Genomic DNA, 25628 nt, shown 5'->3' on the forward strand with positions numbered 1-25628 from the left:
GCATTGAATAAAGGGGGCGGGTATGGGATAATGAGAGGGGTGGGAAAGAACAGAGAAGCAGGTCCCTGTTAGGTGTGTGATTGAGGGCATGGATTCTACTCAAGGACAAAGAGAAGAGGTATAGGGGGACTAGACCGGGCAGAGGCAGGAGAGAGAGGCTTTGGAAGCAGAGCAGAGGGTAGGGGGCCTTGGACTAGGGCACTGGCAATGACGTAATTAGAAGCATCCAGATTTGAGATATATTTAGAAGTAGGACTTGCTGATGGATTAGACGTGGGGAGTGAGGGAAGACAGTTAATCCAAAGATGATTCCTGTGTCTTTGGCTTGATAATGAGGCACCATCCACTGAGACGGGGAAGACTGAAGAACAAGAGGTTTGGGGAAGAGATTTGGGAGATGGGGGCTCTGTCTGGGAAACGTCCTATTTGAGCTGTCTGCTGTGCATTCCCATGGAGGGGCTGCGTAGATAGTTGGATATAATTGTAGAGCTTAGGGGGAGAGGTGGACGCTGGAGATAAACTAGAAGTCACAGCCTAGTGGTGATATTTGGATGATCTTATTTGGATTCTCACAATTTCTCTGGAGGCAGTTATAAAAAACAGTAGATGGGTGGGGGGCAGTGGCTCACCCCTGTAATCCCAGCACTTTGGGAGGCCGGGGTGGGCGGATCGCTTGAGGTCAGGAATTCAAGACCAGCCTGGTCAACATGGCGAAACCCAGTCTCTAGGGAAAATACAAAAATTAGCCAGGCATGGTGGCGGGCACCTGTAATCCCAGCTACTCAGGAGGCTGAGGCAGGAGAATTGCTTGAACCCGGGTTTAAGTTGCAGTGAGCTGAGATGGCGTCACTGTACTCCAGGGTGGGGACAATGGAGCAAGGCTCAGTCTCAAAAAAGAAAAAATTAAATTAAAAATAAAACCCAGTAGATGATGGAGGGTACGCCATTCACCCACGGGTGGCCAGGCGTGTCGGCAGAACTCAAGGCCCAGGAAGAAAAAGAGCAACAAGGAGGAGAGGTCAGATCAACAAAGGGGTTTCCAGGGCCCTCTGTGCCTTGAGCAAAGCCTTACCAGAGGAACAAACAAAAGTATCGCAAGGGACATACTTACACTAAGAAATTATTGGTGGCTTCTCTGAAATTTAAATGTATCTGGGTGCCCTGTCTTTTACCTGGCAACCCTACCTCAACATCAACAAAGGGTTGAAGCCTTCTTCTTTCCCCAGAGTTCCTGCAACTGCAGCCCTGCTTTTTAGCATGCTGTGCTGTCATCGCTTTGCACCTTTTTTCAGTCAGACGTTGTGTGGTTCCTGAAGGCAAACCTTGTGTGTGTTACGCACCTTTGTGCAATCGTTACATTGAAAGACCAGAGTTCAACAGGGATGCTGAAAGCAACTGTATTCTTTTCTCTCTCTGTCCCTTTACAACCATTTAGAGGCTTGTTTTTTTGCCTGGAGGACATTCCTGTCACTTTTAGTCACGAGCAGTCTTGACTCCATGCTGGAATGTTCAGTCCAGTTTCACAACCATGACTTTAAGCTTCAAATAGAAAGTGTGTCTCCTTCCAGAGACTGGGAGCATCTGGCTGAGGAGCCTAAGACTGAAGGATGGACTATGAGGTCAGCTTCCCTTTAATTTCCCTCCTTTGAGCCGCTCCTCCTCGCACCCCAACCAGGCTGCTTTCACCTTCCAGAGCTGGAGGTGGCCACTGAGAGTGAGGCTGAGAGCATAGCAGGAATGGTCTTAAGTTACCAGCATTGGGAAGATCTTTGAAGGTGATTCTTTCTCTGAGTGATGTTTTCAGGGGTTGCTCAGGGGACCCACCCCTCTCCTCTTCAGCTCCCTACAAGTGCTGATGCCTCCCGCACCTCACCTCTCCCCAGCCCCGGCTTCTGCATCTTCAGCACGCCTCCATTCAGTCTCTTTGTGCTGAGGTTATCCAGCCCCTGGCAGGAAGCTTTCTTGGGTAGGCACCTTTAAGACGCCTTTAAGACATCCTAGGTTGCATGCCATAACCGGTCTAAGGGAAATACTTCCGTCTGCAGTCTGTGTCTGGCAGCTAGCTCCTGCTGTGGTTGTGTATGGTCCCCCAAAAGAGCCACTTACTATTTGCATTTCTCAGGCATGAGTCAGATAGAAATCTCCAGGGGACCCATATCAAGCTTTCTGTGTAGTCTCCTTGCAGCCTGTCTTCCTGGCTTGAGGCGAGTGGGGGATGCACCTCTTGTGCCCCCTGCGTCTCCTCCCTGAGATGGGGTGGGTGGGGTTAGGGATAAAGACAGCGCTCCAACTTTCTCCAAAGAAATCATCTCTCTCAGCCACTTCTACCTCTACTGTAAGCCTCAAAATCAGTTTCCAGCACCCTCTCTGCAAACCCCACATAGGTGTCCTACTATTCTCTTTAGAATGTGGGAGCCTTTGCTACCTGTTTTATTGTTTTTGACCTTTTGGTGCCTTAGCTGAGGCTGAGAAGAGAAAGTGCCATCCTGTTACATTTGTATTTTTAGCACCTACCTCAGTGCCTGGTACATAATAGGTGCTCAAAAATGTGTGCTTATTTATTTATTTAAGCAAACGAATCATTAATCAACTACAGTAAGAAAAGGTTGACAACTGCCAATCCAGATAACCCACTAGTGTAGCCCAGGAAAAATATTTCCATAGACCCTGAGATTTCACAATTGAGGCAAGATGAGACTTCAGGGAATTCAGAACGTCTGCTAAATTCCTGATTCCCCTAAGTACAATATAAAACTTAAAAATAAATCAGTGATGAGATTTTATGTAATGCCTTGGCCCATCTCAGATCAAGTGCAGATTCCTGGGATGGTGCCACCATTTCTTTGCTTCTTGGGTTCATCTCTGAGCTCTCTCCCTCGACCTTGGTCCTTCTTACTCCCTGTAATCATGAGGGCCACTGGTCTTCCTGGCCTATCCCGCCTCAGATCTGGATGGTGCCTTCTTACCATTCAGCTTACAAGTCACTTGCTCCAAGGAGCATTTCCCTTACGGCCTTCACCAGCCTGTCCCCTCACCACCCCATCTTATGTACCTGTCACAGCACTCACCTGTCTGCACTGTGCACACTATAAGCTCCAGGAAGCAGGCACTGCCTTGTTCACTCTGCACTCCAGGAAGCGAGCACAGAACCAGGCGGAAATAATGCTGAATGAATGAGTGGATTGGCTCAAGAGCATCAGTTGAAAACCCTCTGAGTGGGGCTTTAGGGTAGGTCCACCCTGCACATCTGCCTTCAGCTCTCATTAGTGCACAGCATATATTAAGGAGAGGATGTTGGTTTGGGCAACCTCAACCTTCATGGCTGAACCAAGCACCCATTGGTGGCTCAGTACACCTGCCACCTGAAGTGTAAGCACAGAATTCTGCCAAATATCACAGCATAGAGGCTGAAAGATCATGTCAATCTTGAGGTTTAGAGCTCCTTTTCTCTAATTCACATTCCTTAGTCCTTCACCTTTAGAAATTTCACTGTGATCACGACATCCAATGACAAATTCAAAAAGATAATTCTGTTTGTATCATACACCGTTACTTGGTTTAAATCCAACTAAGAACTGTAGAAGTTGGTGTCAACATTCTCCTGGATTTTATAACCTTCCAAAAGCATCACAGTCTTAGCTCTGTATGTAACCTCCTCTTTTCTCCTGTGCCACCTGTACCCCAGACGAATATAGCTAAATCAAGATGAAGCTAGAATATGGTAGGATCTGTTAGTAAAAAACCCCAAAACACAAAAAACCCCCTAAACCCCACTCCGATATATTATATACAAAAGACATCAAACGTGTGTGTTAGGAAGTTTTTTTAGAGATAGGTTCTTGCTCTGTTGCCCAGGCCAGAGCACAGTGGCATGATCATAGCTCACTGCAGCCTCACACTCCGACAGGAACATTTGATTAAACTGGAACATGAAAACAGAAGAGGCTATTTTAGTAAATTATGTAATTAAATTTTTTAGATGTTTGAGGAATACCTAAAGTATTTCCATTTGGAGATTATGAACATGAAACCTCATTTGATGACACAAAATGTATCTCTTTCTTAAGGGATTCTCCACGGTTTGTGAGATTATCCTCTTAACCATAAAATCATAACATATTATGTACATGTGTCATATGAAAAGACAATTATAAGAAAGTTGAGGCCAAATCTGCTGGTTGCCTATTCAATGTTCACCTTCCTTGTTTTTTTTCTTGCCAAGAGAGCCCTAATTTTGTTGAGGGTGGCAATGCAGCCAGCTAAAACCTATATTTCCATTGCCTGTCTTATAAAGATAGGTGACTAAATTCTGGCCAATGAGATAGAAGTGAAAATTACTGGTGGAATTTCCAGGAAAGCTGTTCAACTGGTGGATTCGCCATATGACATGCTCCCTTTGCCCCACCATACACGCCTTGCTCCCATCTGAAATTTGAATCCAATGGCTGCAGCAGCAGCAGCCATTTTGCAACAGTGAGACTTGACTCCATGAACTAAGGATGATGGACTGAAAGACAGGAGGTTGGCACACTGATGACATCATGGAGCCATGGTAACAGTTTTGGACTGCCTAGTTTTAGACTTAAAGTTACATGAGAGAAATGATCTCCTCTGTTGTTTAAGCCCCTGTTTATATTTTGGGGGGGGTTCTATTACTTGTAACTAAAAAAATTCTAAAAGGTAGTGGAATATTTATGAGAAAGTGAGTGTGTTTGTGTACTAGATGAGAACTTATCAAAGAACTCTTTTAATATTGATAATAATAATAATGATGGAAAAATTAGAAAAATCTATATTTTTAAAGTTGTTGCACTGAACATACCATCTGATTGATTTTATTTCTGATAATATAAATAATTTCAGTTCTTTAACAGGAGCCACAAACAACTACATAAATACATGCACATACATGCATGTACATTTTAGTGAGTGTGTCCATATTCTAGGCATTACATTCTGCAAGTTATATTCATTATCTCATTTAATATCAACAGCAATCTTATGAGGTACTCTTATTATCCTCATCATATACACAGAAAAACAGAGGTTTAGACAGTTAAGTAACTTGCTAGTGAGTGGCAAAGAAGGGATGAGGACTGAGTCTGGCTTGAAAGCCCATCCTTATGGCCACTACCTTGTCCTGATTCCTGGGAGCAGGTGAACGTAAGTCCATTTGTTTAAGCCATCTCTCAAGTCAATAACAAGGCTGGTAAAATGTAGGGTGTCTTAATATTGCAATAAATAAATATAATCCACCAAGTTGGACCTCTTAGCAAACTTCAACAGGTAAGGAGAATTTCTACTCAGATGGTAGATTTCTAGTATCCAGGAATTAGAAATGTATAGAGAGCATGGAGATTCAGGTTAGGTGTTAAAATGGGTAGCCAGGTGGCCTAGTTTAAACCAGACTGAGCACACTAAACTCTTTTTCCTGAAAAAAAGCAATGAATGTTCCCATTCGGAATGGGCAGGGTATGTATTGTGTTTGCTGTCTCCCTGGCCTCATCATCCAGCACCCTCCTGCTCCCTCCTTCGCTCTGCCCATAGTGCACCACTGCACTGCCCTTCCCTGCCCTCCTCGTAATCGTTCACACATGCCATGTACACTCTCAACTCCAAGCCTTCGCACATACCAATCCCTCTGCGTGGAGTGCTCTTCCCTTAGATAGCCACAAGGCTCATTCCCTGGCTTGATTCAAGCTACTGTTGCCATGTGACTTCATCAGGGATGTCTTCCCTGACCATTTTCTCTACAAAACTGGCCCCTCTGTTAACCTTTATCCTGCTTGCTCCTTCCTTCCTTCCTTCCCTCTTTCCTTCCTTCCTTCCTTCCCTCTTTCCTTCCTTCCTTCCTTCCTTCCTTCCTTCCTTCCTTCCTTCCTTCCCTCTTTCCTTCCTTCCTTCTCTCTCTCTTTCTCTCTCTTTTCTTTTCTTTTCTTTCTTGACAGGGTCTTACTATGTTGCCCAGGCTGGACTTGAACTCAAGCAATCCTACCACCTCCACCTCTGCCTCCCAAGTAGCTGGGGCTACAGGCCCGAGCTACTCCTCCTGGCTTCTGCTTTGTATTTTTTGATAGCACTCAATGCACCTGACATATACATTTACTTGTTGGTATCTAGCTCCTCCCCTAGAATAAAAGCCCCATGAAGATAGGGCCAGTGCTTTATTTGCTAGGACAAAGCCTGGGACACACGCAATAAACGTTTGTCGAATGAACGAACGAATAAAGGGTTCAAAGAACCTGCTCATGTCCTGTTGTTCTGTGAATACCTAGAAGACATTAGAGATGGGTCTCATGCTGGGACAAACTCTATGGACACAAGCGTTTGGAGGTTACTTTTGTGTTACTGAACACAGCAAAGTGGTTAGCACCCTGCAGTTAAAGAATGAACTCCACATAGAGGAAGGGATAAAAAGAAGAAAGGTGTTTCAAAATGGAATTTTCTTAAAAGGAAAGTGAAAGTAGAAAGGTATCTACAAAATGGTAAACAAGCAGTTCATGACCATCAACAGAAAGGATCTTAATTATTACCCATAAAGAAAAGAAGTATAATAAAAAAGTAGACACATTTTCTCTGCCTCTATGCAGTAGTTATTGCATTTGAGGGACATTACCCTTAAACATACACCTACAGGCCTGGGCAATACAGGATCAAGGGCTGTGGTTCACAGGAGGGAGATACAATCTCTGGCCAGAGTAATCAAAGCCCAGAAGGGGGCTTTGAACTAGTCCTTGAAGCATGGAGTGGATTTCAGCAGGATTTTGTGGCCCTGGATGGCTAAAGAAATAGCAAAAGAAGAGGCACGGCTGAGTAGCTTTTTAATCTGCAGAACAGTAGTCTGGTTGGGAGGCAAAATGGGAATACTAGGAAAGAAATATTGAAAAGGTATGTTTAAGGCTATATCGTGGGGAGTCTCCAAAGCCAAGCTGAGGGGTTTGAACATAACCTGGAGGCATCTGGGGGCCACCTTTCAATGGTTCTAGTTCTTATTGGGCAAGGAAGTGACAAGATGAAAACATTATTATAGGGGGTGGTGCTGGTGGGAGTCAGGAAGATGATTTGCACTGGAAAAGCATAAGAAACAGGAAGATTAGTGATGATGTTAGTGAAATTACTCTGGGATATAAAGACAAGAATCAGGAAAATGCCTTTTACTTATAAAAAGACACTGATGTTCAGTGGGAAAGGTGAGAGAGGAATCAAAAATGGTGATCAGAGTTTGGATTCGAGCTGTAGTACAACAGAAATAGGCAAATCAGGAGGAAGATCTGCCTTCAGAGACACGTGACAGTCAGAATGACCTACTTGGGAAGCCACTAGGCAATTTGAGTTGGAAATGAGGCTGGGGAACCCACATTTCCTTAGGAACCCATACCTCCTGATCTGTAGGGGATACATTCCAAGACCCCAGGGGACGCTCAAAACCATGGATAGGACTGAACCCTATGTATGCTGTGTTTTTCCCCTATACATACAAACCTAGGTTTAAGTTTAGTTTATAAGAGGCACAGTAAGAGATGAACGATGATAACTAGTAATAAAATAGAACAATAATAACAATATGCCAGCATCACTACTCATGCACTTTGGAGTCATTATGAAGTAAAATAAGGGATACATGAACACAGGCACCATGATACCGCGATAGTCGATTTGATTATTGAAACAGCTACTGGCTAACGGTGGGGAGTACAGAAGAGTGGATGCGCTGGACAAAGGGATGATTCATGTCCCGAATGGGACAGAGTGAGATGGTACAAGGTTTCATCACGCTACTCAAACTGGCACACAATTAAAAATGTAGGAATTGTTTATTTCTAGAATTTTCCATTTTAAATTTTGGAACTTTGAGTAACTGGAACTGCAGAAAGCAAAGCTGTGGGTAAGAGGGGACTACAGTAATAAGCAAACTTTTCGTCGGGTGGGGACATCCTTCTCTGTGATGTCCAGGGCTCCTCCGATGCCAAGAGGTAGATCATGTGTACTTTTTCTATCTGCATGTAGTTCAGTCCTGACCCTGGAAATCAGAATACTAATTGTAGTTTGGGGCTTCATAATTTGGAAAGGAACTAATACGATAGTGGTGAATAACCTTCAAGTCTTGAAAAACTGATTTACCCTAAGAATCCAAACTGCGGAGAAAGGCACAAATTGGATATTATTTCTGAACACATAGTAATCTCTGTCTCTTTCCAGAACTTACTTGGCATTCCAAGAGCTAGCAGGACCTGCTTTGGCCTGAAACCAGGGACAGATCTCCCGGGGCTGCCAGAGCCTTTTATAGTTCATGCTAGTCTAGACTCTTTTTTGTGCTTTCCGCTTTGGGATGGAGGTAGGGGAGGAGTATAAGTCCTCGGACCCCTGTGTCAAAACTCAGCAGCTGCATACTCTTGGCCAAGCTACTTAACTTCTTTAAGTCTTCTTTCCTGTTTTTCAAAAATGATATTGCTGCGAAGACGAAAAGAAAAAATAAAATGCAAGTGCTCGGAGCATAGTAAATGCTCAATAAATGAAGTTTCATCACCATCGTCATCATTCGTAATGTAATTTCTGGCCATCTTGCATTAATGCAGAGATTCAGGCCATGTGACCTGAGGACTGGCTTGTGGTGAATTTCCCAGGGATTTATTTCTAGGACAGGTGCTCATAAGAATTATAGTATTTTAGAACACATGCAATAAGGATGTAAATAAAATGGAAATTTTGTAAAATGTTGGTCTGTTGAGTTCTGAAGTGGGATAAGAAGATAGGTATGAAATGTTCCTTAGAGATTTTGAAACAGGAAATCTGAGTTAACAAGAAATGGGCTAAATCTCAGGACGTTAGAGGCTCTCTAATCCTAATTTTATAATGATTCGATGACAATTCCAGAGGCTTTCAAGTCAGTAATAAAGCCTTTAATGTATGTAATCTTAATTGAAAGGAGCTGAATTAAAATGATAACATTGAGTATTTTGCTGAGTTTCCGTAGAAACCTTGAGGAAGAAGTTAATTTTTTAAGCTCATGTACATCATTGGGGAGCTTAGTAAATTGTAAGTCAAAATGAAAAAGCTTACATTTGTCCTAATTTTTTTCTTCTTTAAGGCTGTCTAGCATCCTGCCAAGTGAATAAGTGGGCTACGATGGCCCATTCTTAATTAGATGACTGCAGAAAAACTCTTAATTAAAAAAGCAAAAATATAATTTTTCCCTCTCTTGCAGAATATAAAATTAGTCATAAAGAAGAATACTTCCCAAATTTGGACTAAGAAACATAGAAATGTCATCCTCTAAACTTTTTATTAATAATTTTATGATTAATAAAGATTTAAAATGTAGTATCTATTGAATATAAAGATTATATTATAATAAAGCAATATTAAGATAATAAAAAGCAAAATAAGCTATTATACATAACACGAATTTAGAAAAAGAGAATTTTTTTTTTTTTTTGAGATCAGGTCTTGCTCTGTTACTAGGGTAGTGGCTTGATCATAGCTCACTGCAGCCTCAAACTCCTGGGCTCAAGCAATCCTCCTACCTCAACCTCCCAGTAGCTAGAACTACAGGTTTGTGCCACCATGCCTAGCTAATTAAAATTTTTTTTTTTTTTGGTAGAGATGAGGTCTCCATTGCCCAGGCTCGTTTTGAACTCCTGGCTTCAAGCAATCCTCCTGTTTTGGCCTCTCAAAGCACTGGGATAACAAGTGTGAGCCATTATGCCCAGCCAATAAATATTTTAATAAAAATTACAAAATATATAGATATCAAATACTATTTTCTAATGAAAATTGTAAATAATTTTTTTCTATTTAATGAACTATAGTTTTGTGCCTAGAAAAAGGTCTACTTGTTAATTTCTTTTAGTCTGAGTCTACAATAAGAATTAAATACAGTAAACATAAACTTTAAGCTGTATCCAAATTTTATGTATTTTTTCTCAAGTACACTTAAAATTGAGGTTAGTTAGTATCCTATGATCTCTGCACTGGAATTCTTACTACAATTGTCCACCAGAAGAAGAAACTAGGGAATTATAACTAAATTATCCAAAAGGGTTAAATTTTTTTTAAAAAAGCTATAAGTAAAAAGTTTCCATAGCTTTCACTGAAGTTGCTTTCTTGTAAAAATTATTTTGTTATGTAATTATGAAATATAACAGAATATCAGAGTACCAAAAATAATATTCCACCAATATGCCCATCACCAGTATTAAAACACTTGTTATATTTGCTTTGGTTTTCTTTTTAAAAATAAATGTTGTATATCATTCTCAAACATATTTTTATACTTTTAGAACAGACTAGAGATCTATAAACCTCATAGTTTTGTATTTTTGTGTTTTAAAGTCCACATACACGGTGTGTTTTATAAATAGTCTCTGCTCTATGTCTACTTGCTGTTGAAGACTGTATGGGGTGAATAAGAAACATCGAGTGTCTAGGCCTTTTAGCATTATTCCACTTACATTGAGAGAACTAAAGAAATAATAACCATAACTCTTGCTAGAACAGTTTACAGCCTAGTTAAAATGCCAAAATGAAGACGTGGTAAGCGTTTTTATATTATTTTACCTACCATCTGGGTAGAATGGAGTAATTAAGAAACCTGTCTCTGCATAGTTCTGAATAAAATAGTTTAAAACGTCAATTTGATACGTTCTAAATTTGGAAGATCAAATCATTTAACATTAAATCAGGAGCCAATTTCAGAATATAGTCATTGCTCATGGAGGACTCTTACCCGACTTTTTGGGAGCTCACTGGTTGTTCCTTTAGAGACTCGTAAGAGTAAACATTCACATAAATAATAACGGTTTAAGAGTTGGTTAGTCGTCATGGCTACAGGGATAGGTCAAGTTTTTAGGTAAGGTGACTGGTATACTTCCATGAGATAGGGCAGAACATTACTAGTTCTACCACGGACAGCGAGTATTTATACACATATTGTCATTCTCCTGGAAATTTACAAACCTACCCCAGTAAGTACAAAGTTAATGAATGCTAAAAATAAAATATAAACTGTATAGAACTCAGTGGTCGATTTTAATAATGAGTTAGATGCCGCAGAATGTAAGATGTAGGTAAACGGACGCAAAAATCCTTGTTTTACAATGTCTGCATCTCCGTAGTACTGACATTTGAAAACTTTACTTTGCACATACTTATTTTAAGTACGATAAATGAAAGCGCTGTGGACTAGGAACAAGAGACAAATTGCTTTCTTGTCCAAATTGTCTCAGACCCTGTATTTTCTTAGTCATAGCCGTTTGTTAAGTAGGCATTTGGTAGACTATTGCATGGAGGATTGCGAGAGCAAGATATTACTATCTGCGGTGGAATGCTCGAATTTCTTCTCTCAGCAAGGATAATGGGTAGCACAGTCTGACTTTAGACCCATCCAGTGGTTCAGACTTATAGATAGTATCCCATACTTTACCGCAATTCCTTGTTGAATTAAGGCTTGCACTTCGAATACAGACTACACACTTCTGGGTCTGTCTTGTACCACATTGTCTGGCATAGGCGCTCACTGTATATTTGTTGAATGTTAAAGTTCTGTGCACCAAAACCGTGCACTTTGCATCGATTATCTGCGAAAAGCATGGTACACTAAAACTAGATCTTGAAGAATTCCCATTTGATCATGAATAGAGGTAATCCACGTTTAAAATACCAGGTGTTGCGTAATCTCTACTTGGAGATTAGCCACCCCGTGCGCCCAGGTGAAAGATATCATTCTTCCGTGCGATCCGAAGTGCCGTGGAAGTTAGTGCCCTAGCCCAGTCCAGGAGGAAGGGGCGTCGTGCCGGCGGTTTTAAGCTCGGAAGGGGCAGGGGAATGAGCCCAGGGACCCCAGCGGGGCGCAGGTAGGAGGCTGTGCGCTCGCCGGGTGCGCTCCGGCCCCGATTCCCAGCGCAGCCAGTAAGTGGCGCTGGGCCTCGGGTTTGGCGGCCCGGAGGAGCGGGCTGCGGATTACCTGCAGCAGCGGGGAGCCGCCGAGCTCCTCCCCGCCCGCCCCCACACCCCACCCCCACCGCTGCACTAACCCCGGCTCAGCTGGCTCCGCGCACTTGCTCGGAGGAGCCGGGGCCGAGCGGACCGCCGGCTGCAGGCAGCGAGCGCGGCTGGGCTGCGGGGCTGCTTCCCCGCGTCCTCCGGGCCCGGGCCGCCCTCCTCCCGCACAGTGCGGAGCAGGGAGGCCCCGCGCCTCGACCACCCGCGCCCGAGCGTCCGCGCCTCCTCCTCCGCTCTGCAGGCGGGGACCGCCCGGCGCTCGGCACCCGGCAGCGCGGCCCCCTCCAGCCCCCGGCTCCCGGCAGCAGAAGCAGAAGGCAGCGCCAGGGGCCGCCGCCGCCGCCGAGCTCCGCGGGGCTCGGGAGCCGGCCCCGGCGAGGAGGCGCGGAACCATGGCCGATGGGGGCGAGGGCGAAGACGAGATCCAGTTCCTGCGAACTGTAAGCGCCGTGCGTCGCGTGTGCTGTCAGGGGAAGGGGGCGTCAGGGCATCCACTAGCGGGGTCCGGGCAGAGTGACAGCGGGCAGCGGGGACTCGCGGGCGGGGCGAGGGGGTGCCCCCTGAGGATGCGGGAGGAGCGGGCATCACCAAGTGTGTGCAGGTGTGCGTGTTGGGGCGAGGGAAGGCAAGGGCGCGTGTCTGTGCGCGCGTGTGGAAAGCTAGAGGATGGAGCGCGGCTAGCCGGCGGCAGGCGCCCGGGCTCGGACCCGGGGCACCGGGGACAGGAGCGTCGGAGCTGCGGGAACCGGGAGAGGAGGGGACGGCCGGTCCGGCCTGCCTGGTGGCACGGCTGGGACCTCCCGGGCGGCCGGGGGCAGGGTGCAGAGCAGGGTGGCCCGTGGGGGCGCGGGGAGCGGCGGGAACTCGGGCTGTTTCTGGGAATACCGCCGCCGGGAGGTTTCTTGGGCTTTCGGGCTGGACCCGCGCGTTGTCACGGAGCGAAGACGTTGGTTCGCTTACTCCGTGTAGCGTGCGGCGCAGCTGACCGGGGGCGGGGGTGATGGTGCAGGACGCTGCGCGGAGGTTTCCCCCAAGTCAAGGTGCTGCGAAAGCGGAGGAGGAGTCGCCTCCGTGGTCCCCGCGGTTCCCGGGGCTGGTGCCATCCGTGGTGGTGCTGTGACCGCTTGCAAAGCGTGGAAGGCATGGGAAGCGAGCGTGTGTTTGCGTGTGTGCGCGCGCGCGGGTGGTGGTGGGGAGAACATCGTGAACGTGTCGTTCTCTAAATGCTGGCTTATTGCATGCCAAGTGAAGCAAAGTGTGTGTGTGTAAGTGTAAGGGCAGGGTGGCTGCCCGGGAAAGGTTGGCTCCACACTAATACAATTCTTTCTCCTTAAGTACCTCTTGGCACTGCTCCTTCCTTTCTCTCATTTGTTCGAACACTGCAGATACTTCCCAGGCTGAGGCATTGCACACCTCCAAGCTGGGACTGGAGAGCCTCTCCAGAAAAGAAAATGCCCTAACTTCCTGCTAATAATAACCTAGTTAGCATCCTTTCAGTCGTTCCTTCTCCACTTCTGTCCTCCTTCCCGAAGGATGTTCCCTTGCAGGATTCCCCAGACTTCCCCAACCTAGAACTGCAGCTTCTGCTGGTACTTCTTTCCTCAGCAGTACAAAAACAAAACAAAACAAAACAAACAAACAAACAAAACCACTTCCCGGTTACAGTTACCTATAATCACAGAAAATCGTAGATACGGTGGAATTTTGGAATATTAACTTTTAGGTGTGAAAATAGTCTTGATGTATTTGGGTACTAAACATATGAAAACAGCGAATTTGCAAAGGAACGTTGTAAACGACTGTCTCTTTCTCTTTTGTGCATTAAACGGACTGGGAGAAAGCTTTGGGAAGGATAAAAACCCAGGGTCCACATCAGATGACAACCTAATAGTAATCCAGTCTAATAGCTGCAGGTTATGCACCATTGCATATGCTTTTTGAAGTACTGTTGGCCCAAGACCGGGCTTGGAAGAGCCTCTTCACTAATACCTTGGTCACGGTGTATAAACCTGCTAGTAATACAGTTGTCTTTTTCATAGAAAATAGACTATAAGGGTTTTTTTTTTTTTAAGTAATTAACACCACATTAGATTTTTCTCAAAACTAAGGACTATTTTATTCAGGTGGACAAATACGGTTGCTGTATAATTTTTCAATCAATTCGTATCAAACTCTGTGGGGTTAAAACTAGCTGGGACATTTTGGTAGGCTTCATGCACTCAAGGGCTTCCTGCGGGCTTAACTGTTAAGCCGAGCTCATGGAGGTGGTGTTATCAGAATGCTTAATGGGGACCGAGGGAACGTGCTGGCTGATGAGGTTCTGCACATATCAAGTAATGTCAACTCTGTGCCACTCAGCAGCTGCCTGTCAGCTAGAGCAGCACCTTTGATAAGTGGGTCCTGGGTAGAGATCTGGCAGTCCCAGGCTGGGATTTTTCTTTTAATAAAACATCCGTAGGTTGCTGTGCTGACGACAAATGACCTTGAAGGAGGTGACACAGTGGAGCAGGGGGATTTTTTTTTTTTTGGTATAGCATTAACATCTAAAAGGAAAACATGCCTTTCCTCACAATTTTCCAATTTTCATATGGAAATTCTCAAATCCTTTACCGGCTTCTCCACCCATTACCCTCCATCCTTCCCTCCCCCACCCCCCTTTTTTTTCTCTTAACCTGAGAATGTTGGTGGTTCAGAAATGCTGATGGGGTGAATAATGGGGAGACTGTAGTATAGTTCCCACATTGAAGTCGCTTCTTTTTTTTCTGAGGGCATTTATTTCTCTGTCATGTGCAAGCTTGTCAATATGAGTTATTTCTTCTTCTTCTTCTTTTTTTTTTTTTTTAAAGCAAATAGCCCAAGGAGTATTAGGAATCTGTACATCTTGATAAAACAGTTGTAGATGGAAGAATTCTTGATAGTGATGGATGAAGCTGTTTTGCATAGAAAAACAAAAACAGTCATTAAGACACCGTAATTGTGAATTTGATGGGACATTTCATATGTCCTGATTAGAACATCTGGATTATTATCTTGAGCAGGTCATTGTCTATTGGATTTGTATTCAGCACCCCAGCACATTGAGGCATCTTTTTGACCACTGTCCACAGAAAGCTTTTTTGCTTTTCTTTTTTTAGAAGAGGTGTGAGATCACTGTTAAGGGAAGTAGAGGTGAAATCTTTAATGGGCTGTATCTGTGAGTTATGTATGCTGCTGTAAATTAATTCCTCATTTGCAAAGGGGTTTGTCACTGTTTAGCTTGTACCTGTCTCTCTGGCATCTCTGTTCCATTTGCTGCTGCTTGTCGAGTTGGCTCACATTCCTTCCAAATAGTTATGTAGATGAATGATCATTGATTCAGTGGCTCCCCCATCTGTTGGAAACCTGCCCACTTGGGTCTGTTTATCTTTGAGAGAGATTGAAAATATGTTTTTGTAAACTCTGGATATGCTGGGACACTTATTTTATGAGAGAAAAATCCTATCATAAAATAAGCTGTCAGCTTGTAATGGATTCATTCACTGTCATATCCAAACATATCCATGATTTGGAATGTGTGTTTTATTTTAAAGATTTTATTAACTTACCAATGTAGCATCAAACTGTCATTTGGCATTTAAAAACACGCATCTTTTTCGTTATGGTCCTCTTTTTTTTTTTTTTTCCAACAATCATACAGAATGTTATAGAAGATATTCCTCTGACTTTAGGAAAACCATGGTATAAAATGACCTTGGTCAAGGTTTTTTTTTTTTTTTTTTTTTTTTTTGAGTACTTTGTCTTTCTTTCATTTGTCTAAGCACAGTTGAGTTACCCTTGTGGTGTACTGTGTCATGTAGTTTTGTATTTACCCATAGATTGAGACTTAAAGCTTAGTCCTGGCTGTAAGAATGATCCTGATAGGAATGCTTACGGTCTTCCTCCTGTCTTCTTTTGCAGAATGAAGTATTTCATTATAGATTTCTTCTCAGTGTTCATACATCTTGTTCCACAATGACAAGAAGCATCTTTAAATATACTCATCTACAAATGGTGACAATTATGCAGTATAGATGCTGGTGTACAACACTGCATAGTAGTTTGGATGGGAATACTTAGCCCTAGTTTGTAGAGGTCCAGGAAGGTTAATGGTATGAAGTCAGTACTCAGCAGTGCAGAACGAGGACTAAAATTCAAATCTTAGGCTAATAGTGTTCTTTCCAGGAGAGAAAGGCTTCTTTATCTGCTGTTCAAGTATGTTTTAGGTTTATAGCAAAAGAATACCAAGTCAGTTTTCTCAGCTGTAGGAATGTCACAGAGTACAAAGGAAAAGATGGAATGAGCAGTGGAAATTCGCACTTTTTGCTCCCTTCATAATGAAGCTACGAGGAGCTTTAGATAGATATGCACTATGGTATTTTCCCAAGGAACTGATGGAAAGCCCACCCAGGCTTACATCATCAGACTTATTTTATTTTAACTTAGAAATTAGCATGTACACATTGGCAGGAAGGGCAAGATCTAAAACGCTTAGGGCACTAATTTATTTGACATTCAATTGTATTTGTACTTTGGCTTCAGATAAGTGTTTTTATCACGGCTGAATTACCCAAGAAAGGACTCCAGCAGCACTGGGTGACTGTGCTTCTTTAGATAGCTTTCGGGAGAGAGGGAGAGGTGATGAAGCACACATTTTTCCTGAAACTCTGACATTGTGGGAATTAGATTAATTCAGAAAACATTTGTTGAACACCGTCTGTATGCATAGCATGTTAAGGAAGTATTCCAAATAAGTAGGGAAGTGGTTTGCAGCTGTAATTGCAAAGAATAGATATAGAGGATGGCATGGAGCAATCAGAAGGAAAAATGCATAAACAAACTCCAAAACATTAGGGTAGGAAGAGGCCTTTAGAAAACATTACCCTGTCCACCCCATGCCTCTCTGATATTGCAGATAAGGAAACAAAAGCTCAGAAAGCCAAATGACTTGGCCCAGTGTCACACTCCAAGTTAGTGGCATTTAGTAATGGAGAGTATATGAAAATCTGTGAAGAATTTCCAGAAAGGAGGTTTACCAGCACATCATTCTTTATAGAGTAGATTTAAACCCACTTTTCCATTTTATCCTTAACTTGACCTTCATAGAGTTCTGTCTCCAAATCTGTCCTCTTGTCCTTCCAGCCAGTGAAAAGGAGGTTTCTTTTGTCTTTTCTAATGTTACAGTCCCTCACATGGCCTGAATCTTGGTCCTGGAAGCCAAGATTGGAATCCATCCTTTCTAGCCTTTTTTTTTTTTTTTTTGCCTCCCTATCCACTTACTCCTTCTGGTTTATCTTGAAGCCTGTTAATTTCTCCCATCTTAAAATGTCTGTCTTTGACCCGGATACCTTATTTGGTTGCTCCCCTCCTGCAGAAGTGGTCTTCTCCCACTGCTTGTACCCCTCTCCATGTAATTATCTAGCTTCTCTTCCTTCTTCAATTTACTTTCCAGGATGTTGCCAGTAACTCCCTCCTTGCCACGTCTAAATGTCCCTCTCTGTCCCTATTCCCTTAGATTCCTTCTCAAGCTCTACTACCCTGACTTTCCTTTTTGAAGCTACTCTTTTGACTTTGGGGACATGGTACCTTCTGGGTAATTTTTTACATTTCTGATCATGCTTTTTCCAGGTGCTTTTCATTCCTTTTACTCCAAGTGTGTGGTTATCCCAAAAGATTCTGTCCTATTTCCTGTTCTGGCTCTTCTGCCTTCATGAGCTTATCTATGTCACAAAATCTGGGATCTCTTGAATAACAGAGTCTGAAAAGACTTAACAATGACTTCATCCAGCTCTGAGAGCCAGAGAGATGAAAGGAATGTTCCCAAAGCGACTCTTTTTTGTAGGAGAAACCCACCGTAGATTCGACAGCCCTGGGCCTTCACTTCAAGCCTCTGTTTAGACTTCCCTCTTGCCTCTCGGACCCCAGAAACACCAGCTTGACATCATTGCCTGTTCGGTTCCCTAAGCGACTTTCCTTCCTAGTGTCTCTGCTGATCAGTGGCACTGCCGTTTGTGGCTGTGGCTCCAGTGTGATCCTAACCTTCAGAAGACCTGAGTCTGAGGCCGGAATCCACCAGCACCTAGCTTTACGGACTTAGAACAACAGTGCCTGGCTCATGGGAGTGGCTCAATGCATTTGTCTAGTTCTCTTTCTTCTCTTCTGCATCTAATTTGTCATCATAGCCCATCGTGTTTCTCTTTGCAATCCAACTCAGATTTCGATGTGTTTCATACTCCGTTAGCTTCTTGTTCTGATCCCAGTACTCATTTCAACCTTCGTCATCCTTCCTCCTGCAACAAATCGGCAACCCACCTAGAATCCGCCTGCCATTTTAGTCCTCCTGAAACCCTCGTGTCCATCTCCCAGCCTCAGCTCACATCCTTGCATATCCTGTCTAATTTCTCTACTTGGCCTTTTATGATCTGCCCCTTGATACCTTGCTTATGCTTTTCATCCTACACAGAGTTTTCTTGGATCACTCTAACCAATTCCGATTTTACCTTTCTCCGACCATTTATCACTAATAATTAATAAAATGTATGGAACTGATTGGGAAACTCAAGCAATGGTCAGAGAATGCTCTGACCCTGATGCTCTGTGGGTGAGTTGGGACCGTGTTGGGCATCGGTTTCCCATGATGCTTGGTGCACTGTTAACTACAAGGACAGACTTGAGAGAAATCTTGTGGCAAGGAGAAGATCGGGACAAGAGAAAGGATCCTCCTGCCCACAAGTTTAATGTGAACATCACTTGAATGCGTCCAAATGCAGAAAGAAGGAACCTGCTATGAAGGAAGTAGGCAAAGATAGTGGGGGTGGAAGAATAGAGGTAAGATCTCTTCTGGAAGCAGAAGAGTAGGAGTGTTGGTGGGTGAAATTCTGAGATGAGGACACCGGAGGTGTGTAGGGTGAGAGAGGCCAGGTGATGATTGCTGCTTTGGGAGGCCGCAGTGGCTCCCAGGTCCAGTGGGAGGGGACACCCGGAGAAGGCAATTAGAGAGAGGGAAGTTACAGTCACTAGAGCAAATGAACAAAGGAGAGTAAGAGAATAAATTAAGGATTAATTGAGTCTGAGTGATTAGGGCTGCCCAAAAGAAATACTGGTTTAGAGTCAGAAGCTGTATTTCAAATGAGCAGCTGTCAGGGGGTGAGGTGACTTCCAGGGGCACTGTTAGAGTGTCCAGTGGATCAGTTTCATCCCCTTACTTTCCTCTTTATTAATCACGGGAAGAACATTGGGATGAGGACCCTGCCAACAAATGGTTGTGTGACCTTGGGGCTGGTGGGGTCAGATAGAGATTTGTTTGAGAGAGGTAAAATGGGGAGGTTGTTTTCTCAGAGGGACTTGCGGTAATTTCCATTGTCATGTTCGTAGTCTTAGGGTCAACCAGACTCAAACCATTCTGCAGGATGAGCATAACAAAATCTCACCCTGGGACTGGAAAGAAAAGCTTTGAATGATCCTGGGGTCCCTGGAAATCCTCATCCTGGTGGATTACAGGCCCTGAAAGCTGACAACAAGCTTTGAGCCAGGATTCTTGATGATGGGTGGTTTTCTTTCAGGGAAGAGGAGATGTTAACAATAAGAGAAGCTTGCAGACAGGCATTTAGAAGGAGCTAGGAGAAGAATTCTCTCATGTCAGTAGCCCTCTTAGGGACTACTTAGGTTCGGATCCATTTAGTAACTGAACTCCTAGTGAGCTTGTTTGCAAATCCTCTCTATTGTCCCAGCCGTGAAGTACTTCTCTGGCTTCCATAGTTACCTTCTCCCTGGCTGGTGAAGAAGTGGCCCATGTTTCTGGGGTTTCCCAGAATGTTACAGTCAGCCTCAAAGCCCATGTGGAAGGTATATTTCCTGGTTTCTATTGCAAAAGTTCTGTAGTGGTGTTGCTGCAATGAAATGGAAGTCCAAGGCATTCCCTGTTAGTGACGGAGTGTTCAGAGGACCTACACGTAATTGCTTTCATGTTCGTTACCCAAGTAGGGGACAGAGAGAGAGGAGCCACTGACACGTGAACCCAGGGAGACCTCCCCTGGATGGCTGGGTGCAGGTACTTACCACCCACCAACCGATGATGAGTATCTGCCAATTTACTGGAAGAAAACCTGAAATCTAGCTGTGGAGCCAAGATAGATGCAGAAGAAAGCGAGTGGAACAGGAGAAAGTGTATAGGAACTCAGAGGCTGGCAGGGCCTTCCTGAGTCTGGGAAGGGCTGAGGCGGGAACGAGGACACATTTGCTCCCTGGGACACGTGGTTCTTAGTGTGCAGGGGAAACCCGCATGTGGTCACTGAGGGAGAGGCACAGGCCCACACATCTCATCACCATGAAGGAAGGAACAATTCAATGTGGCCAATTTGTTTTTCTACTATGGCAAGCACTTTTTTTCCTTTAACATTTTTGGTATTTTAAGAGTTTTTGCACATTTATTCTGCTTCTAATGAAGTTTTAATTGTTTCTCTTTCCTCCTGAGTTTAGAATCTGATTCATAATGTACATGGGAACCCATGAATTTCACTCATATTTAATGCATAACCAAAGATATAAACTGAAATGATACATTTTGAGAAGATCAAGAAAAGAAAAAGAAAGCTTACAGGAAAAATGATATCCTTAGTCTTGAGTCAATTGGGATATTGTTAAAATGAAGCCGAACAGCACACTGAGGTGATAGCCACTAGAAGTTGTATTCTCTTCTTTTCCACAGCAGGTTTCTGGTTTTCAAAATAAAAGCAATTATGATTTAAATTCTTCTAGCTTTTGCTAGAGTTTATATTTATTTCATAATCAAAGAAACTTTACATGAGGAAAGTTCGGTCTCACACACACGCACACATGTGTGCACAAATGAATGAAAGATATTCCACCATATTTTTTTTCACCAATTTTGACTGTGGTGTAGAATTCAGTTAAATTAGTTCATGTGTAGCAGTGAATTGTCTGTTGATCTCTGTTATTTCTTCCAGTGCTTTGGGGTTTTTATTTTTATGGTTCCTTTCCCTTTGTCTTTCCCTTTCCCTCCCCTCCCTTCCCCCTTCCCTCCTTTTCCCTTCCCTCCCTTTCCCTTTCTCTCCCCCCCCTTCCTCCCCTTTCCCTCCCCTTCCCCTCCCCTTCCCGTTCCCTACCCTCTCCTCCCCTTCTCTCTCTCTCTCTCTCTCTTTCTCTTTATCTCTCTCCCTCCCCTCCCCTCCCCTCCCCTCTCGTCTTCTCTCCTCTTCTCTCCTCGGGGCTCATGAGTGAGTTACTTTTGAGAGATGCTATTTTGATAGTGGCAGGACCAGCAACAAACCTGTACCATCTCAGCATTCAGGAACAATGGTGTCCACATGTCTTTTTGAGGTTGTACAGGGCATTCTTAAGGCACATTTGAATAGTCCCACAGGCTGAGAGGAGTTCCTCTGATCTTAAATACAGCATCAGCCTGAGGAGTAACCATTTCTAGTCAGGAGATCAGAGCTTTTTTACGCCGTGGCCTACCTACTGCTGTTGGCAACTTTATTTCTTGTAGGTGCATTGATATGTAATTGTCTGGCAGGTCTGTTCTAAGCATTGCATGTGTATTTTCTCATGAAATCCCTAGAAAATCCCTCAGAGGTAGCTACCTGCAAAGAAGTGAAGTGAGCCCAGTGTTTGCAGACACAGGCAGTGGAGCGACAGTTTCAGACCTGGGCAGGCTGGCTCTAGAACTCTCACTTAATCTTGCCATACAGGGGCCCTTTCTGCTGGAGATGGACATATTTTAAAATGAGAGGGAAACTTGGTGCCCTGCTTCTACCTGCAGGAAGTTACTTTATAATATCAAATGTGAATTTCTTACATTACCAGAGCCTTGCAGGCTGTGTGCCACATCATAGGTCCTGTGTTTAATGTTTGTGGAATTGCATCGAACTGATTCCATGAGATAGTATTTTACATAATAAATACAGAGTAGGGTAATTATATGCAGTTTACTAGGGTACCTTAATGCAGTGTGTGTGAACGGGATACCTCTTTTATCTGTAGCATTATACCAGGTACCTAAGAGATACCATGAAGGTGGAAGCCATAGTTCCCGTAGAGTTCAGATGCTCAAACAGTGAAACCTTATATGCATCAACCTGGGAACAGTAAGCTTATGGTTCTAGGGGGATTGTGTCCTGTGTAAAATTCAGAGGGTCCAAAAGGTGAAGAGATGATGGATGTGGTCATGATATTGGGCTCCAAAACTCACGGAGTAAATGGCCAATGGTGAAGTAAATGGTGGTAAAAGCAGAGATTCTATTTCATTATAAAATATGAAAAAAACATGAAAGGCAGAATCCAGACTATAGAACAACATGTAAGGCAGGAATTAAAGTTTCAATGAAATGCCGCCTTGATCTCTAAAAGTGCTCCAAAATCTCTTTTGTAGCGTTTCAGGAAATTTTGATTCATTTTATTTTTGAAACAGTTGACATTTGGGGGAGTGGGCTAAGGGATGAAAATATGTTTTAAAGTGCTTGTTTTTTTAAGGACAATATTTTCAAGAACTGTACTTCAGGAGCATGTCACAGTTATGAGCCTGTAGGCAAGAACAGGGTTTTTTTTTTCCTCTCCTTTTAGGGAAGAACAACATATTGAAGGATGATTAAGACACTTGAAAAATGTAACAGAAACATACACACACACGCATTGCATACACAGGATCCAATCCCTGATGCCCTTTGCCTCTCTTCTTGTTTTATTTCATTTATTTATTTATTTTTAGACAGAGTCTCACTCTGTTGCCAGGCTGGAGTGCAGTGGTGTGATCTTGGCTTACTGCAACCTCTGCCTCCCAGCTTCAAGTGATTCTCCTGCCTCAGCCTCCTGAGTAGCTGGGATTACAGGTGCCCGCCACCATGCCAAGCTAATTTTTGTATTTTTAGTAGAGATGGGGTTTCACCATGTTGGCCAGGATGGTCTCGATCTCTTGACCTCATGGTCCGCCCACCTCAGCCTCCCAAAGTGCTGGGATTACAGGTGTGAGCCACCGCACCCAACCCATCTCTTCTTATTTTTTAGACTATCCCGTTAGTTCCCTTTGGTCTTGGACATGTCTGTCATGACATGTTTCCAAGGCCAATGCCCACAGCTGGGAGTCATGATCAGCTTACACGTCCTGGCTTGTAGGTTCGACGAAACGTCAGGAGAACATTTCTTCTTCAGACAAATGAAAAGCTGAGATGAAACGTTTTTGATTGATGGCTGTCAGAGAAGCGTAAAAACTTCAGCTTCACTGCCATTCCCTTTGTGACAGGGAAGGGGCCATCATCTCCTGAAGATGGGGGTGTCATTATTAAGTCTAAATGTCCTGCTCCCGTCATGAAGAATTGCATCACACAGAAGCCTGCAAAGTCAGCCCGACTTGAGTCAGTCCTACTCACACCAAAGAGGATACGGAAACTGGTGAAGGATAAGAGACAATTGTGATTTCACCTCTTCCTGCGCCAGCGCCCGGTCTCTTCTCCTTCATTCTGAAATGTTCGTGGACTGCCTGCTACGTGCCATGCTTCTTGCTGGACTTATATCCACGCTTGTCCTGCCTTTAAAGAGCTTATTCTGTCTCTATGGGTGGGATAGGGAATAAGGAAAACGCAAATATTCTACTACACAGTGGACATAACAATCAGAAAACCGTCAGAGGAAAGGATGTTGAGGAGGGAGGGATCCGTGTCCCAGGAGTACCATTATCTAAGGCTTGGTGGAGGAGGCAGCATTTCCAGTCACAGAATTCTCAGACTGAAAAGGATCTTCAGGGATCAGGGTCTAACCCCTTTATAGTGAAGGAACATGAAAGGACAAGTATATTGGCCCACATTATTCCGCTCAGACAGGATAGCTGCAATTCATTTGATTCCTGGAACAATCCATTTAGTCTATAAAGCGGTTAATTGCATTAATACAGATCAGGAAACTGAGTTGCAAAGAGGTGAAATGACTTGTTCAAGGGCAATTAATGAGTAAGTGATGTTGCTGGCGAGCCCAGGGTTTTCAGATGCCAAAGCCCTTCTTTCTCCTTCCTCCCTCCCTCCTTCCCTCCCTCCCTTCTTCCCTTCTTTCCTCCCTTCCTTCCTTTTTCTTCCCTCCTTCTCTCCCTCCCTTTATCCATCACTTCCTCCCTTCCTTCCCTTTTCCTCCCTCCCTCCCTTCCTCCTTCCTCCCTCTTCTCCCCTCCCCGCCTCCCCCCTCCCCCCCTCCCTCCATCTGTCAGGAAAAATGGTAAAAGACTGTAAATTGGATTATAAGGAATGATTTATGGCTGTCCTATCACATTTGTCCATTTAGGTTATCTGTGCTTTTCACTTGTCTGGGAGCTATCTTACTGCTCTTAAATTGTGGAAAACTGATAGTAATGATTCCTGAACTGTTGATTCTTGATTATAGAAAATGCAAATTGTGTCTACTAGAATGCAGTTGTAGATACCGAGTGGGTTTATTCTTCTCAAGCAAATTCATCTCAGCCTTCCTGATGGGCTGATATCTCTGTATGTCCTTTGGAGTCTCCTTTGAACCTGCTGTGATACCACACTGGTTCTTTAGTGAAGAAATTAAATAAAATCTTTGATGTGTTCATTTTGTCTTTGTTTGAGTCGTATTTTTACTTTAAAAAAAGTTACCTTCAACACCACTACTATGCCTCCTAAAGTAAAAGTGAGTGGGATCTTGCTGAATTTGGGTGGGGAGGGCAGGAAGACAGGACAGATGAAAGAGGAAGGTGAGTGGGGGCCATGTGTTGTTTCTTCTGTCTCCCCATCCCCAGGGCCACTTTCCAGTCTTCTCTGCCCTGTTCTATGTTCAGGAGCCTCCTACTCTAGATGGTGCCGGGAGCACTGTTTCCTTTCCTTGTTGGCTCAGATCCAGGGCTGGGGACAGTTTCCCACTGTTGCTGGTCCCTAGAAGTCCCACCTCTGTCGGATCCTGTCACGCTCCCAGCCCGCACCTTGGTAAATGATCCCTCATTCACCTCTCTTCAGTTAAACCCTTGAGAGTGCCATTCCCTTCCTTGATGAGACCCTGATGCGAAGGCGGGAAGCACGGTGACACGTTTGGGAGAGAGATGACGGGCGAGTACTGCTGTGTCATCCTGGGGGGACTGGGGAGCCCTGAGACCAGGGTCAGGGATTTGTTCTTAATTCATAAGGTAAAAGGGGCCCTGGAAGTTATTCTTTTTTCTCCTTCTCAAGGGAGAAAAATGGGTCAGAGCTGTCCATTAGAAAGATTAATGGGGCAGCAATTTATAAGATAAATTGGGATGTAGAGAGATCAGAGCGGGACCGGAGCTGAGAAGCCTATTAGGAGACAGTCACCACGGAGCTGGTGCAAGATAATTCGGGCCTAAATTTGGGTGGTAGTTGTGGGAATAGAAAGGAGCGGGAGCTTTAGGACACAGTGGAGAAAGGGTTTATGGGGTTGGTAACTGATTAGATACAAGAAGAGGAAAAAGACAAAGCTGAGCTTCAGATGGTGTTGGTCATATGGAAATCAGGAGGAAGGGGAGGTTTCAGGGGAAGGCAGTGGGATTTATTTTGGATGTATTTATTTTGAGATATGTTATGGACTGAATTATGGCTCCCTAAAAAGTATGTTGACATCCTAATCCCCAGGACCTTAGA

The 25628-nt window shown here is 44.0% G+C and overlaps 1 protein-coding gene across 18 annotated transcripts in view; it reads left to right on the top strand.

Annotated features, from left to right (window-relative positions):
* Positions 12055–25628, top strand: part of RYR2 (ryanodine receptor 2) — a 791805-nt gene continuing 778231 nt past the window's right edge. For all 18 annotated transcript variants that reach the window (XR_007062490.1, XR_002957299.2, XM_006711802.4 and 15 more), the window contains exon 1: positions 12055–12440. Coding sequence is in view for 16 of the 18 variants with exons in the window: in XM_006711802.4 (XP_006711865.1) it covers positions 12393–12440 (48 nt within the window). In the remaining 2 variants the exon portion in view is untranslated. The remainder of the gene's footprint in view (positions 12441–25628) is intronic.

Source organism: Homo sapiens, chromosome 1 (genome assembly GCF_000001405.40).
Source record: "Homo sapiens chromosome 1, GRCh38.p14 Primary Assembly".
NCBI lineage: Eukaryota > Metazoa > Chordata > Mammalia > Primates > Hominidae > Homo > Homo sapiens.